The sequence below is a fragment of the Homo sapiens genome, chromosome 11 (genome assembly GCF_000001405.40).
Source record: "Homo sapiens chromosome 11, GRCh38.p14 Primary Assembly".
NCBI lineage: Eukaryota > Metazoa > Chordata > Mammalia > Primates > Hominidae > Homo > Homo sapiens.
In genome coordinates this window covers 131,658,308-131,672,266 of record NC_000011.10, presented here as the reverse complement: position 1 = coordinate 131,672,266, position 13,959 = coordinate 131,658,308, and the positions used below count along the sequence as shown (strand labels likewise).

The 13,959-nt window shown below is 48.1% G+C and overlaps 1 protein-coding gene and 1 long non-coding RNA gene across 23 annotated transcripts in view, besides 3 other annotated features; one reads left to right on the top strand and one right to left on the bottom strand.

The window, feature by feature from the left end:
* The window catches only part of NTM (neurotrimin), a 966,208-nt gene that overhangs the window by 664,556 nt on the left and 287,693 nt on the right, over window positions 1-13,959 (bottom strand). For 5 of the 22 annotated variants that reach the window (NR_170352.1, NR_170351.1, NR_170358.1 and 2 more), the window contains exon 2: window positions 11,219-11,338. The exons of 16 other annotated variants lie outside the window; for them this stretch is intronic. Coding sequence is in view for 2 of the 6 variants with exons in the window: in NM_001352006.2 (NP_001338935.1) it covers window positions 11,219-11,273 (55 nt within the window). In the remaining 4 variants the exon portion in view is untranslated. Of the gene's footprint in view, window positions 1-7,070; window positions 7,158-11,218; window positions 11,339-13,959 lie in introns of all 22 variants that reach the window. One more of the 22 variants, NR_170346.1, reaches the window with a different exon arrangement.
* Window positions 1,415-1,915: an enhancer, noted in NCBI's record as "H3K27ac hESC enhancer chr11:131540246-131540746 (GRCh37/hg19 assembly coordinates)". NCBI's record gives its function as "activates a minimal SCP1, AML or CMV promoter by ChIP-STARR-seq in primed H9 embryonic stem cells {active_cell/tissue: H9 hESC(primed)}" and the evidence as "EXISTENCE:reporter gene assay evidence [ECO:0000049][PMID:30033119]".
* Window positions 1,539-1,752: a silencer, noted in NCBI's record as "fragment chr11:131540409-131540622 (GRCh37/hg19 assembly coordinates)". NCBI's record gives its function as "represses an EF-1alpha promoter that drives an FKBP-Casp9 reporter gene in an ReSE screen in HepG2 liver carcinoma cells {active_cell/tissue: HepG2}" and the evidence as "EXISTENCE:reporter gene assay evidence [ECO:0000049][PMID:32094911]".
* Window positions 8,339-8,895: an enhancer, noted in NCBI's record as "H3K27ac-H3K4me1 hESC enhancer chr11:131533266-131533822 (GRCh37/hg19 assembly coordinates)". NCBI's record gives its function as "activates a minimal SCP1, AML or CMV promoter by ChIP-STARR-seq in naive H9 embryonic stem cells {active_cell/tissue: H9 hESC(naive)}" and the evidence as "EXISTENCE:reporter gene assay evidence [ECO:0000049][PMID:30033119]".
* On the top strand, window positions 8,711-10,138 carry NTM-AS1 (NTM antisense RNA 1). Its single transcript, NR_126159.1, has 2 exons — window positions 8,711-9,101; window positions 9,852-10,138. It is a non-coding gene; the product is annotated as an NTM antisense RNA 1 (long non-coding RNA).

The following is a 13,959-nucleotide window of genomic DNA, read 5'->3' as shown; positions in this document are numbered from 1 at the left end:
TCGGGCCTGTGCTATGCTTTGAGGCCTCCCCAGAGGGGAAATGTTCAAGGGTCCCCTTGCTGCTCTGCTCCTGGTGGGGAGGGAGGGACAGCACCACGCAGGCTTGTTCCTCCCACACCTGCCAAGAAGGCCGGTCCTCCCGGACCCATGGTGTGGAAAGCCGAGTCCACTCCAGAAACAGGCAATTTGTGTAGAAAGACAAAGAGAAAGGGATGTGCACGTGGAGAGGAACACAGCGAGGGCACGCTGCGGGCCCCTGGCCATCTGCTGCTGAGAGGCGGTGCAGCCAGGGGGCAGCCAACAGCCAGCCCAGTGCTCTCAGGTGGAGCCGGGACAGAGGCCTCTTTGTCCCGGAGCCAAGCACCTGCTGCTGTCCAAGGTTTGGAGCCCCCAAACCTTGACTTGGCCTTCAGAGGGGCCTTAGCTCTCAAACCAACAAATATCATTGCCTCCACCAGCGTCCAGGTCATTACTCTGAGGCGAGCTCAGGGGACACACTTCTCTTTGCCACTTTCGATGCCACTTCTTTGATCGACCACTGTCGATGGGCGCTTTGTCACTCTCCAGTGGCCTGTGAATTAGCCCAAGGCGTCTGCTTCCTATACCGCTGAGTCTTGGTGGTTCTCACAGGGCTCTGAGCCATTTGCCACCTCTGCCAAGTCGCAGATATGCCCAGCCCAGCGTGGGCTCCAGAGGAGGGTGAGGGTAGCCACCGGTAGGCCCTGCCAGCCCAGAGGAGGGTGAGGGCAGCCACCGGTAGGCCCTGCCAGCCCAGGGCTAACACTGATTCAACCACATTCTCTGCAAGCCCAGAGCTGACAAGGCCCAGGCAAGCAGGAGCTGTGGTGGATCCTGTGAATATGCAGGTAATGTAGAAGGATGGAGACAGGTGTCCCTGGCCTTCCATAAATAAAGTGTGCAGTGATGGGGTTGGGCGGGGAGGATGAGTATAGACGCCAGATAGCGCCCCAGGGAGGCTAGGGGTGGAACTGGCCTTCTAGGCTGATTATGCCTCTGCCTGGGGGAGATAGGAATGGCTCCCTCCTGGCATCCATAAAGTTGCTGAGTGCAGACCTTACCTAGAAAGGCAAGGGCCAAAAGCCTCCTAGCAAGTTCTTGAGCAGAGCCTGTTGGGCAGGAATTCCTGGCGCTTTTGCTTGGAGAGAAACAGGGCTGGGAGGAAGGGTCAGAAGAAAGATGATGGGGGCAGGAAACAGAGAAGGGAGGATGGAGTGAGAAAGGACAGAGCAGGAGGAAGAGGGGAGCCTCTGCCGACAGTGAAGCAGAGGGAAGGACGTCTGTTTTCAGAAGGGGCTGGGGGCCACATTCCCTGGGAGCCTCCTGGGCCCCAGGCCTTTAGCATCTACTGAGTGAATACCTAGGATTGCTCACAGAGGGAGCAGAGGGGAAGGGGCTGGCTCTGATCACACAGCCACCTCGCCGGGCAGCATCAGAGGTGGTTTTAGCCTAGATCTGAGGCCTCCAAGAAGGGCTACGCCTCTCGGACAGCATCCATGTCGAGAAATGAACCTCCCTGACCCAGTGGGGTAGAGGAGCAAGTGAGGCAGGGAGGAGAAGGGGACACAGTAGTCCTAGCCCTCGACTGTCAGGCCTCCTAGCCTTGTCTCCTGCCCCAGTACCACATGTCCATTTCCCTTGGCCTCACCCCAGCCCCACTACAGCCTCCATTCCAGGTAGAGACTGAGCAGCTGGCAGAGAAGGCCCAGCTCCAGCGGAGCCCTGCTTTCCAACCCACGTTGCCACAGCACTCAGAAATGGGAACGAAACAGACAGCCACAGAATACTACATGAATGCAGACATGTATTCCTTAGCAAAAATAAATAAATGTATAAGAAAGAAAGAAGAAAGAAAGAAAAAGAAAGAAAGGAAGGAAGGAAGGAAGAAAGTAAGAGAGAGAGGGAGAGAAAGAAAGAAAGAAAGAAAGGAAAGATTTGAGAGCAATTTTTTTCTATTTTTCCTTCTTTGGTTCATTTTGCTTAAAACCTCCGAGCCCACTTTTTGCCAAAGGGGATGAGGGTGGAGTGGGTACTGGACGTGGCAGGAGAAGAGCTTTTGGGGCGCCTTCTGTTATCTTGGAGTGAGGCAGCTGATGTGATATTTTAATAGGGAACTCATTTTAATAGCCTACAAATGAGGAGTCAGAGACAATTAAAATTCATTTCCAATTAATTGTTTTTTCTTCTCTCATTACCAAGAGTTGCCAGTCAGACACCGACAAAGCCTTCAAAACAAAAGCAGCTCCCAGCCTCCGCTTCAATCGGACGCCACCTGGAAGGAGGCTCCGGAGAGTGCCAGCATCTTTGCTTCAAACTTCTCTCCCTTCAGCAAATGACTTATCCGGCCCCTTTGTGGGCAAGAGATCGCTCAAATCTTCAGAAGCTGGGACCTTCTAAGCCGTGAAGTCACAGACAAGTTTATTACCACGGAGCTGCAGGATACTTTTTTATAGTTTTAATATGGTTTATTTGCTCTCCTGAGGAATGGTCTCAGCAACTGCATTTCTTGAGACTGATTTAGCTTCCTGTCTTTCCCCTGCTGCCTCCCTTCTATGCTGTGGCCAAAAACCCAGGCTATGACAAACAGCCTGAGATGACAGAGCCTCACCTGAGCCTGGAGCCGGAAGCCTCGGTGCCCCCACCGCTGAATTGCTGAGTGACGTTGCCCTCCCCCCTCACCTGTGCAACAAGGTAGCCTCCTTCAATGCCCCTAACATGCCCCTAACATGCCTTCCAGCTCTACAACCTTCACTCTGCATTCAAAACACATTATCAGTGGCATCTATGAAGCACTTAATGGATGCTAAGTATCTCACATGCACACCTCACTTAATGCTCATAAAAACCTCCTTAAACAGATGCTTCTGGTAGCCACCAGTTCTCAGAGCAGGAAACCAGGCTACGGGACTTTTCCAATCATGGCGAGCCAGGGTTTCAGCTTGGCTGATTCCAGAGCCTGACCTCTTAACCTCTATTTCCTCCATGGTTTTGATCTCTGACCCCCTTTAACATGCCAGAGTTCCTGCAAAATCCTCAGCCTTGTTCTCTCTCTCTCTCTCTCTCTTTGGATGGGGGAAACTTCTAGTTAAACTCCTCACCTCATCTGGATCTGGATGACTAGAGTGGACAGCCCTGAATGACCAACCCTACGGGGCACAGAGAAACCGGGACAGGGACTCTACCGCATCTTTCCTGGTACAAAACCCAGAGGGGCGTGGTGGCTTCCCCAAGCTCCAGCCCCTTTTGAAAGCAGAAAGCTGTGCTCCCCCTACCGGCCACCACCAGTGGAACAAGTCTCCCCAAGGACTAAAGTTCTCACTGAGCCTTACTTTATTATTATTGTTATTGTTGTTTGAAATGCCTCATAATAACTGGGATAGATTTCTTAGGAAGCCAAATAATGGGATGCATTTCCACCCTGGCTTTATAATTAACGTTTGCATCATTTACCTTTCGTGGAAAGATTATTCTGACTAACGAGGTTCTGGGCCACTAATTCATTACACTGCCTTGTCACTTCCTGCTCCTTCTTATTACCCAGAAATAGACTCATTAGTCAGAGTTCAATGACAGGGAGAAATTGTGTTCCTTAATTTAATTCCCTCACTCACTTCTGGGCCCCATGTTTGTCTGAAATTGGGGATTAGAAGGGGGAAGAAAGGAGTCATCTTAAGTCTCTGCTTTAGACTCATTATATCCTGCCCCTTGTTCCTATCCAACAGGGGAAAGGGCCAGGAGAGCTTGTTTCGGTGGCCACGCGGGTGCTGTCCTTTCTCCACTCAAAGCTACAAGCAGGTGAGGGGCCACAGCCCAACCACTTAGGGACTTGTAACATATAATCAAGGTTTTTGTTTTTTTTTTAAAATCTCCACTCACAATTAGTAGTACTACCTGGGAATACTTAGGAATATCCAGGCATTGCTGATAGTAAGTGCTGTAGAAGATATTTATTTACAGATAGATAGATAGATAGATAGATAGATAGATAGATAGATAGAGGTAGATATACATGCACACATATATGCATGACACAAAGTGCTTCCAAAGTCCTCTGCCACAAGAACGTAAGGTGATATAATATAGACACTAACAGCCCAGGCTCGTGTTCCATTGGCATGAGTTCAAATCCTGCTTCTTCTCATGTGAGTTGCAAGGCCTTGTTCAAGATACTTAACCTCCCCTGGCTGCAGCTTCTCAACCACAAAATAGGAACGACAAAAGCTATCTCTCATCATTATGAAGCTCAAGCCGCACAAGGCACCAGAAGTGGATTGCACAGTGTGTGGCAACTATGACTATTAACTTGGAAGAGAGGTGCCCTTGGAGTTCAACTAATCAAAACCCAGCAGTGGGAAGAGAGGGTGTCTCCAGGCAGTGGGTCCCAATCCTGGTAGCACAGAGGAGACACCTGCGGATGCCCAGGCCCACCCAGGCTGTTTGAGTTGGAATCTCAGGCATGTGGGGAGGGCGTCCATGGGTTTAAAAGTTCCTGGGTGGTTCTAAGGTGAGATCAGGGTGAGAAGCCCTCAAAGTCTCAAGGTCTGCTCAGGGACGTTTCACTCCTGGGCTATTCCTGTTGAGAGAAGCACGAGGCTGAACACTTGCTCACTGCTGTAAGGCAGGAAACTTTCTCTGGGTCCCTCCATGACCAGGATTAGTACTCACATGGTTCCAGGTTCTGGGAAGCTCACTGGGGGCAAAAGAAGGTGTATCACCTGCTGTCATGGGGCTGCTCCCCTACTGGGGAGCTGGAATCAGAGCACCAATGAATGCTTACATACAAAGCAAAACAAATGCATAGAAGAAAAAGGGTGGATTCAAGGGTGAGCACCCAGCCTGGGGATCAGGAAGGCTTTCCCAAGGAAGGGTCTTCGGTTGAATTATTAAAGGTACTGAGGGTCACCCAGTAACAGAGGGATCAGAAGTGCTTTCTAGGCAGAAGGAGTAAGGACTACGGCAAAGCCCAGGTGGCTGGAACAAGAACAACCCACGGAAGAGCAGAGTTGGAGAGCAAGCAGAGGCCAGGATCCACAGGCTTTGTAGATTCTGCCCAGAATTGGGGTCCTCCTCTTTAAGGGAAAAAGAAGCTTTTAAATGAAGGAATCCCAGGTAGGGCACAGAGGTGGGATGGCAAGATCCAATAAGCCAGCCCTGAAACCCACTTACTTCCTTGCAGCATAATTGTGAGGACCAAGGCCATGGCAATGGAGCAAAGGGCCAGCCAAAGCACTCCCCTTCTGCTAGGGTCCCCTAGGCCTCCAAGTCAGTTCCTTAGAGAACACTGCACGGCCCCAGACCCCAGTGCATGGGGCTGAATCGCTCAGATGTGAGACCTGGATCTTTACTCACCCAGCCACAGATCAATAGCTCAGCTTCCAGAAATGTTGATCCCAGCCACAGCTGGAAAAGAATGCCCCCCTCCCTGGTAAGTCATCCCACTGGAATGGTAGTGTGTCATCAGCCTTTAGTGAGTGCAGCTTTGTGAGTCCTTCACCAGGACCCTGGACGTCTCTGTTGCACTGATCTTATCCATTTGTGGACCAGAGAGGCTGAGGACTCTGTTGTGGGTCGGGGACTCTGGGAACGTCATCCAGGGCTACTTGGCTTTCAGTCAACCTCTGCCCAGAGATCATAGGCATCTCCCATCTCAGGATGTCAGAAATGCATGTGTTTGTCGAGTATGTCTCTTCATTCTGGGATCCTCTGTTCTGTGAGGGGTGGTTGTAGGCATGGCTCCAATGGGGTAGGCCAGGCTGGGGGCAGTCAGGTGGTCTCCTGCCCTCGCAACGCCTTGTGCATTTGTGGTATATTATGGTCAATGATCTCCTCCTCAGTGAAGCTAGTCATTAGAAGTGAATCCATGAGTCTGGCCGTAGCTGTTTGTAACTGTAAGTTTCATTGAAATAAAGGAACCCTCTGGCAATTATAAGACAGGAGGCAGGGCCAGGGGCAGGGTGTGGACATCTCATGAGCCATATTCTATGGCACTGCTTCTCCCACAGCAGTAAGGCTGAGAGCAAAGGAGTGATAGGCAGGGTGAAGGGTGAAGGGCTGGCCTCACTCAGTCACTTGACCATGGGTTGAGGAATTCAATAGCCCTGGGCACTGAATCCTCAGAATAGATGTGTTGTCTCCAATTACCAGAAGAAAAAAATACAACAGACTGATGCAGTGACTTTAGTGAATATGTAGCCTAATATATACCACACATTACAACATCACATTTACTGTGTATTTTTATTCCTATGACCATTAAGAGAAATTGAGTCAGCAAAACTGGATACTGAGCAATGCGTGTCTTAAAATATTTATTATTCCTTATCTCAGTTAATTTTCAAAACAGCAATGAGATATATATCATACCCATTGTACAGATAAGGAAACTGGGGATCAACATGGGAACTTGACAAAAGTCAGGCAAAATACGGTGGGGTGGGAATTTGTCTCACAAGCCTGCCTCTTTTCCGTGGCCCACGGCCAGTTCTGCTTGTTCCCAGACATTGGGACTGAGTCTAGATGAATGCATTTTGTGACTTTGTTAGTTTGCTAGAGCTGCCATAATAAAATACCATAGACTGGGTAGCTTAGACAACAGAAATTTATTTCCTCACACTCTGCAGGTTAGAAGTTCAAGATCAATGTGTCAGCAGTGTCAGTTTCCTCTTAGGCGTCTCTGTGTCTTCACATGAACTCTCCTCCCTGTGTGCTGTGTCCCAATCGCTTTCTATAAGGACATTCGTCATATTGGATTCGGTCCTAGCCATATGACCTCTTTTTGCCCTAATCACCTCTTTAAGTATCTCCCAATACAGTCACCTTCTGAATTACTGGAGGTCAGGACTTCAACATGTAAATTTTGGAAAGACCCTGTTCAGCTCATAACAGTGACCAAACAGTATGGACAAAGCTCTTTATCCTTCACTTGCCAGGGATCTCTACTTGGCTTTCCACATCAATGCAATCACTGTTTACCCAAAATATTTGTTACCCTGTAGTACAAAAAGGTTTACATTCTGAATGGCTGGGCAAATGTCAGGATTAAGATAACTCACTCCAGAGATGAGGCGTGGGAAGGATGTGTAAGAGGAAGCCGCTGTCTCCAGGTGTCAGCCTTGAGAGGAGATCCCTTCTTAATTTCCCTGCAGGACAGGAGGGGACGCGTGAATGCCACTGGCAAACACAGATGGCATTTAGAGCACGGTTCTCCCTAAGGCTTGGTGGGTACCCATCCGTGGCTGCAGGAAGCAGTTCCGCGGGTTCTGCCTCTGGTGCCCAGCAGAAGCGCGGAGGATATGGGCTCCAGGAGTTCAAAGTCAGCCACACACGAGGATGTGCCAAGTGATCCTAGTCCCTTTGTTTAGCTTCTCTGAGTAACAATCATCCCTTTATTCTGTCTGTCATTAAAGGATGGCAACAGATGTAAAAGAGTGGCTTTTAAATGTTGCCAGAAAAAGGAAATATTAAAATCTAAAAAAAAAAAAAAAAAAAAAAAAAACAATGGAAGAGAGCAGTGGCCCCCTTCTGACTCACGGCATTCTATAATCTCTTGACTTTGGGGATAATGAACTACATCTCAAATCTACTTGGTTTATTTTACTAAAATTATCAAATTAACATATAGGAAGAAGACACGGGAACCGCAACGTATGGCGCGTGTTCATTTGGTACCTGGCACTGGGGATAGACAGCTGGAGAGAGGGGGAATTTAATTTCCTGGGGCCCATACGCCTCTGAGTGATTGGCAGGCTAATTTTGCTCTCCACTAGGCTTGGTATTGAAAGGAAGTGAAGATGCAGAAAGCTGCCAAAAACTGTTCCTTGTATTGGCAAAAATTCTAGACCTCATTAGAAAAATCAAGAACTAGATTCAGAAATTTGGAAGGCTATGATGAGAGGGGATTTTTCAAGTAATGATAATTATTAAATATTGTCAGAGCATCCTTTTATAGGTACTTGGTCTCTGGTTAAGCTTATGCAGTATTACACTACCATGCTTCTGTCCCATGTTGAGAGGTCCAGAGAACTTAATAAATTGCCCAAGGGCACACAGCAAATTGGTAACAGATGCAGGCCTCAAACTGGGTTCTTCTAAATCTGGGCCCAGCTCTTTGTCACCTCCCTGTGCTGGCTGCACTGGAGCCCTGTCCAGAGAGGCCTAGCAGTCAAGAATTTGGTTGCTCTGCACAGCTAGAGGGGAGCGAGCCCAGGGTGGTCCAAAGACTTTCCTTTCCTGTCACCTTCTGCTCTTTTGGGATAGAATTTTCATCCCAAAGCAGTTAAGTGCACAAATACTGTAGTCAGATAGACACAAGCTCTAATTCAAGCTTCAAGGTCATGTGACCTTGGGCAAATTATCTCATCGCTTTAAGCCTGGATTTTCTTGTTTGTAAGAAGAGGATGATAAAACCAGTATCATAGAATTACTTTGAAAATAAGAAATCTCTGTGTGTGTGTGTGTATTGTTTAGTAAGACGTCTGACACTTGGTAAGCCTTAGCTAAAAAAGAAAAAAAAGGTAACAAAAACATCCTTGTCCAAAGAGAGAGTGGGAACCCCAGCATTCCTCACAGCCGGCTTTGCCAGGGCTGCCAAGGGCGTGACTTGCTGTTGAAGACCACAGAGTTCTTTGTTTCCATCTCTGCTAGAAGCGGTGCACACAGTCCCCCTCGCACTCACTGCTGCTCCCTCAAAGCTAGAGAACCAGAGCTGAGAAGCAGAAACCCTCTCAGTGGCCTGGCCCGTGCTGCAGACAGACAGAGCGGTCAAGGAAGGCCTCAGGACCAGAGGCAGAGAGAGGAATGGAGTGAGAGAGATCAATGCTGGACCCAAGATGATTAACGTGCCAACCTGGGGCACTGGCGCTAGGGAGATGGTCAGATCGATGGATTCCAAGCAAATGAAGAGCCTGGCGCATTCGGCAGCCAAGCTGTGAAGTTAAACACAGCGACGGGGCCAGGCGTTTGGTGAGCGATGAGGGTGATGAAACAGGACACATATATCTTGGGAAACAACACTGAGAGGCCAGATCTGGTTCTGAAAAATGTCTTTGCTCCTTGTCACCTTTCAAAGGCAAAATCACAGCTCTGTGAGTATGCATGTAGGAATATGAATGTGTGTGTGAGCACGTGCCAGTGTTTGTGTGTTGGGGGAGGGGTGCCTGTAAACACTACACCTTTGTCCTCTTATTCCACCAGGGCCCAGTAGTGCTGGGGAATGTGTTGTTTATTAGGTAGGTGCAAATAGAATTTCATTCCCATGGTTCTGAGAATCATAGCATATTAAAACTATTCAAATATATCCCATGTACTTATATGCTCTGTGGAACATGTTCTTGTAAAATTAACATATACTCTATTACCTCCTTATTAATGGGAAATTCTGAGGGACTGCCTTCATCCATCACAATAAGCTGGGCCCCTCAGCGTTCCCCGCCCCAAGCTGACAAGGCAAGTTCTGAGGTCCACAGGGAGCCAGGAGGGAAGGCCGTCTCTTTTCATCCATGCAATGCCTACACTATGCAGAAAAGGGAGGACCTCAAGACCAAGAAGCGATTATGTTGCAGCCCTTCTTCTGTGAACACGCTCAAAAACACACGAATGTTCCCGCTAAATCAGTGACTCCATCAACCTTGATCCACAGGCCTTGGCTGTGGCAGAGGGACTGCAGGAAGCCACGTGGCTGAGAACCCACCTTCTTATTACCATGTTGGGCAGTTTCTAGGAGTGCTTCCTGGTTTCAGATTTTCTTCCCTTTCAAAGCAGGGTGGGGGTGGTGTAAAGCCCTTGCTCGGGCTAGGAGCCAGATACGTGGCAGCTTAATTTTCCCCATTATGCAGGACAAATACCAAGAAGAATTCCCAGGTGTGTCTGCAGCCGTGAAAATGTGACATGAGTCACAGTGTCTTCGGAGGAAATGAAAGACCACAGGACGGGGACATGGCATCATGAAAAAAGATGCTTTGTGATTTTCAACATATGGTGACACTTTTCCTAATTTAGAGGGGGAAGCTGGGTTTTGAGTTTTCTTTTATCCTCCCTCTTTGTTAAAAGCAAGAGAAAGAAGATTTAAAGAACATCTGTGTATTCAAATGATAGAAATAGAATTATACACTTTCAAAAACAAGTTCTAGTATTTTTGTCTCTTTCAAAGATTTCCGAAGCCTATAGATTTCTCTCGTGTTTGTGAGAGCATTTCCTCTGAGACCTTAGACATAGTGTTGAAGTTGAAATGGTTTTTGTCTTTTTCCCCTTTCTGTTAACCCAGCCCCCACTTCATTCTGTTAATCTCCTTTAATTGGACTTAAGATAAGACTGAGTATGTTCAATATTTTTATTGAATTGAGTTTTATGTTTCCAGTCTGGATTTATAGACTGTTAAATAGAATGTTTTACGTTTCTCTCTCTCGCAAAGAAAATAACAAATACGTGTGGGACAGAGCCATCAGTCAATTATATCAGTGGATTGTTGGCAACTCACAGGGGGAAAAAAAAGAGCATTTTCACTCTACTCTTAGGGGAAAGCAATTATATTTAAGAGCAGTAGAAAGCCAAAACTAGCCTGGAACTTCAAAACGCCTTTCTTGACTGACCAAGAAAAGGTACAGTGACTACAATGACAAACCAGCCCCCAGCTCTTTTAGAAATCTACCCTGCCTCATGCTAAAGAGAAAGTAAGTGATGTTTCAGCCTCGGCGACCAGGCAGGAATAGAAAAATACATTGACAGTAGTTGGATAGACCTTAAAATTAAGTAAAAATTTCTTAATATACAAGATCTCAGTTTTCCCACAAACCTCCTTTCTGTCCAGAAATTTCCATGCCATTTACTGCCTGATCATGTCAGGAATGACGTTCTTCCTTGTTCTTGATTTTCCTTCCTGGAATGTTTTAATCCTGCCTCTCCAGAACACTTTTCCCTACTTCTTCTAGGCCCTACTCACAGCAATGTAGCTGACACATAGCATTAGCGTGCAAAACCTCAAATCCTTTCTGACTTGGAACTTCACCCAGGAAAGACCTCTAGCAAAAGTGCTGGCCATTGTGTCACAGGACAAACCCCTTTCAAAGAACAAAGCCATCATCATCTCAAAAGCCACAGTCACCACCTGGACCTTCCGTCCTGAGGAAAGGAATCTCCACCGAATCTAGGGGGAAGACCCCCCCACCAGTCTGTGCAAAAGATGAAGAATTGAGTATGCACCTACCTGTGCCCTTCCATTTCCACCTCTTCCCACCTTCCCCGTTTCTTTTTCCGTTCATTTTTTTTTCCACTTTAAAAACATCCAACTTTGCCTTGGGGATGAGCAGAATGAAATGTCACTTACCTATAAAAAGAGACAGAAGAGAAAGCCATGCATCACATTACACACAAGTTCTTTGAAATCAAGGCCAGCTTCCGACTTTGAAACTGTAACAATGAGTGAATATTATTTTTTCATCCTACCTTTCTATATTTAATGAAACTCAGGAGTTCGCAAGTAGCCTATCCCCAGGGCCCAGTCTCCCTTCGTGATTTTCCTTTTGTTTCTTTGCCTCCTCCGTCCCTCTTCACCACCCTAGCCCCACACCCTCTGTCCCCGCTTCATGGATGAAAGGTCAGGAAGGAATAAGGGGGGAGGGGTGCACAGACCCAGAGATCAAGGCCAGCCCTCAGATGTGGGCAGCAAGGTTTCGAGGCATGAGGAGCCGCTTTTCACCTCTTTTCTCACAGGCCACAGAGATGGGACCCAGGGTCAGTGCCGGCTGGTGCCTCTCGGGAGGAGGGAGGAAGGTCAGCTCCCTGCAGGGTGATTTTCCACCTGGTGGCTTCTGGGCTCTTTCAAATGACTCTGCTCTGAGTCTTCCTCCTCTCTCCCTCCCTCACCCTCACCCCCTCCGCCCTCCTGGTTTGGGTGTGAATGAATTCACCCAAGGTCTCCATCCCCCTCTTCATCCTGCAGCATCTGTCTTTCAGACCTGCTTCTACAGAAAACCTCATTATTGCAGCACCCTGAGGCCAACAACCACCTGAATGGGTCATTGTGTTCAGTCCCCTGCCTCAATACATGATGCAAACTGGCCCACCCGAGTCCTACGGGACACTTTGAGAACCCTGAGATACTGAGTCCCCGCCTTGCCCGGCTCCTGGCCGCAGAGGCTCCCTGTCTTCATGCAACAAGCTCCTTGTGGCCGACTGATTCGGTTCTGTCGGCTGTAAGGAAGCCAGGCTCTGAGCATTCTACTTGCAAGAACAGCCCCTCACCCACCACGCTATGTAGCGGATCCTTCACGTGCTCACATATTGGAAAATTGGCTTCAGGGTCCTGCCAGTGTCTTCTTCTTCTTATGCCTGAATAACTCATTTCCTTTTAGACTCTTCTTAAAGGTTTCAGTTTTCCATCTTTCCTCCTCCAAGCTCCTCTGAGACCCTCCGTGGAGGACAGCTCAGAGCTAAGCCCTGGAGAGAAAAGCAGCCACGTGTCCCCCGATTCTGTTGCTGCATCCCCCAAAGAGATTTCCAACCAAGATGCTCTGCCAGAAATGGAATTACGGTCAAATATTGCATCCCGATCACATTGGTATGTTAAAGACTTGGAGAGGGTTCGAGGTAAAGATCTATGCTGAAACTTTTCCTAACGGTATTTGACTCAGAAATGTTTCTTGCTATATATAAACTAAAACACCGTACTTCAGAAGGATGACTACTTTTTCTCTCATTATGAATGTAAAACTAAATACAATTGAGTTGGTATTATCACAAGCAGTGGCCAGAGGACCTTGAAGTCGATGGCCCGGCCACCATGCCCTATAGAAAGCTTGGGCTGAGGGCTCAGCATACAGGGTCTGGCTCAACTCCCTCACCCAGTGTGATGGAGGGCCATCCCCTTGCTCCCTGCAGCTCTCTCACCTGTGAGACAGGAGGACCCCGAAGCACCCTGCACACTAGGATGTGGTCAGGCTGCAACAATACTTTAAATGTGCTTTGCAAACTGTAAAGAGCACAACACTTTAAGGGTCTGTGGTGTCAGTACCTCTGTTCTTGAGGCCACACTCATGGGAGAAGAGATCACTTGGCCTCAGCTGCCCTGGGAGCTGGTGAAAAATGTGTGGTTTTGACTGTGGTCTGCCAATGAGACATCAGAGGCAGCAGTTCCTTGAATATTTCCCCTGCTCTGGACCCTGAGGGAGGGAACTGATACCAGAGGTCTTTTCTATCTTTAGTATCTATACCTACATGTCTTCCTCTATTGCACAGGGATGCTCTCTCTGCCTTCTCAGTGCTTACATCTATTTGTTTTTTTCTTTTTGGAGTCTCGCTCTGTCACCCAGGCTGGAGAGCAGTGGCGCGATATCAGCTCACTGCCAACCTCTGATGCCCTGGTTCAAGCGATTCTCGTGCCTCAGCCTCCCGAGAAGCTGGGATTACAGGTGCCTGCCACCATGCCCAGCTAATTTTTTGTATTTTTATTAGAGACAGGGTTTTGCCATGCTGTCCAGGCTGTTCTCTAACTCCTGACCTCTGGTGATCCGCCCACCTCGGCCTCCCAAAGTGCTGGAATTACAGGCGTGAGCCACCGCGTCCGGCCGCTTACACCTTTTAAAGCTTCTGATTCTGCTGTCTCTGCTCTGTGGCTTTGCATCTGGGCAAGTTTCTCCGCAGACCAGGAACCTCTAAGTCGGGGGAGGAAAGAGAGGTCGCTGAATCAGAGCAAGGCATGCCGTCCTCGTCTGCATCCTCTATTACTCTTGAATAAGAGAGAATGCGAGGACAAACGGGCATCAGCATAGTGACGTGTCCATGTAGGTTCACGAATGTAAGAGCTGCACCACGTGGGTGTGGAATGTTAACAGTTGGGGAGGCTGGGGCAGTGGGAAAAGGGGTCTATGGGAATGCTCTGTATTTTCCCCTTATTTTACTGGAACCTAAAACTGCTCCAAAAATAAAGTTTATGAATGAAAACAAATT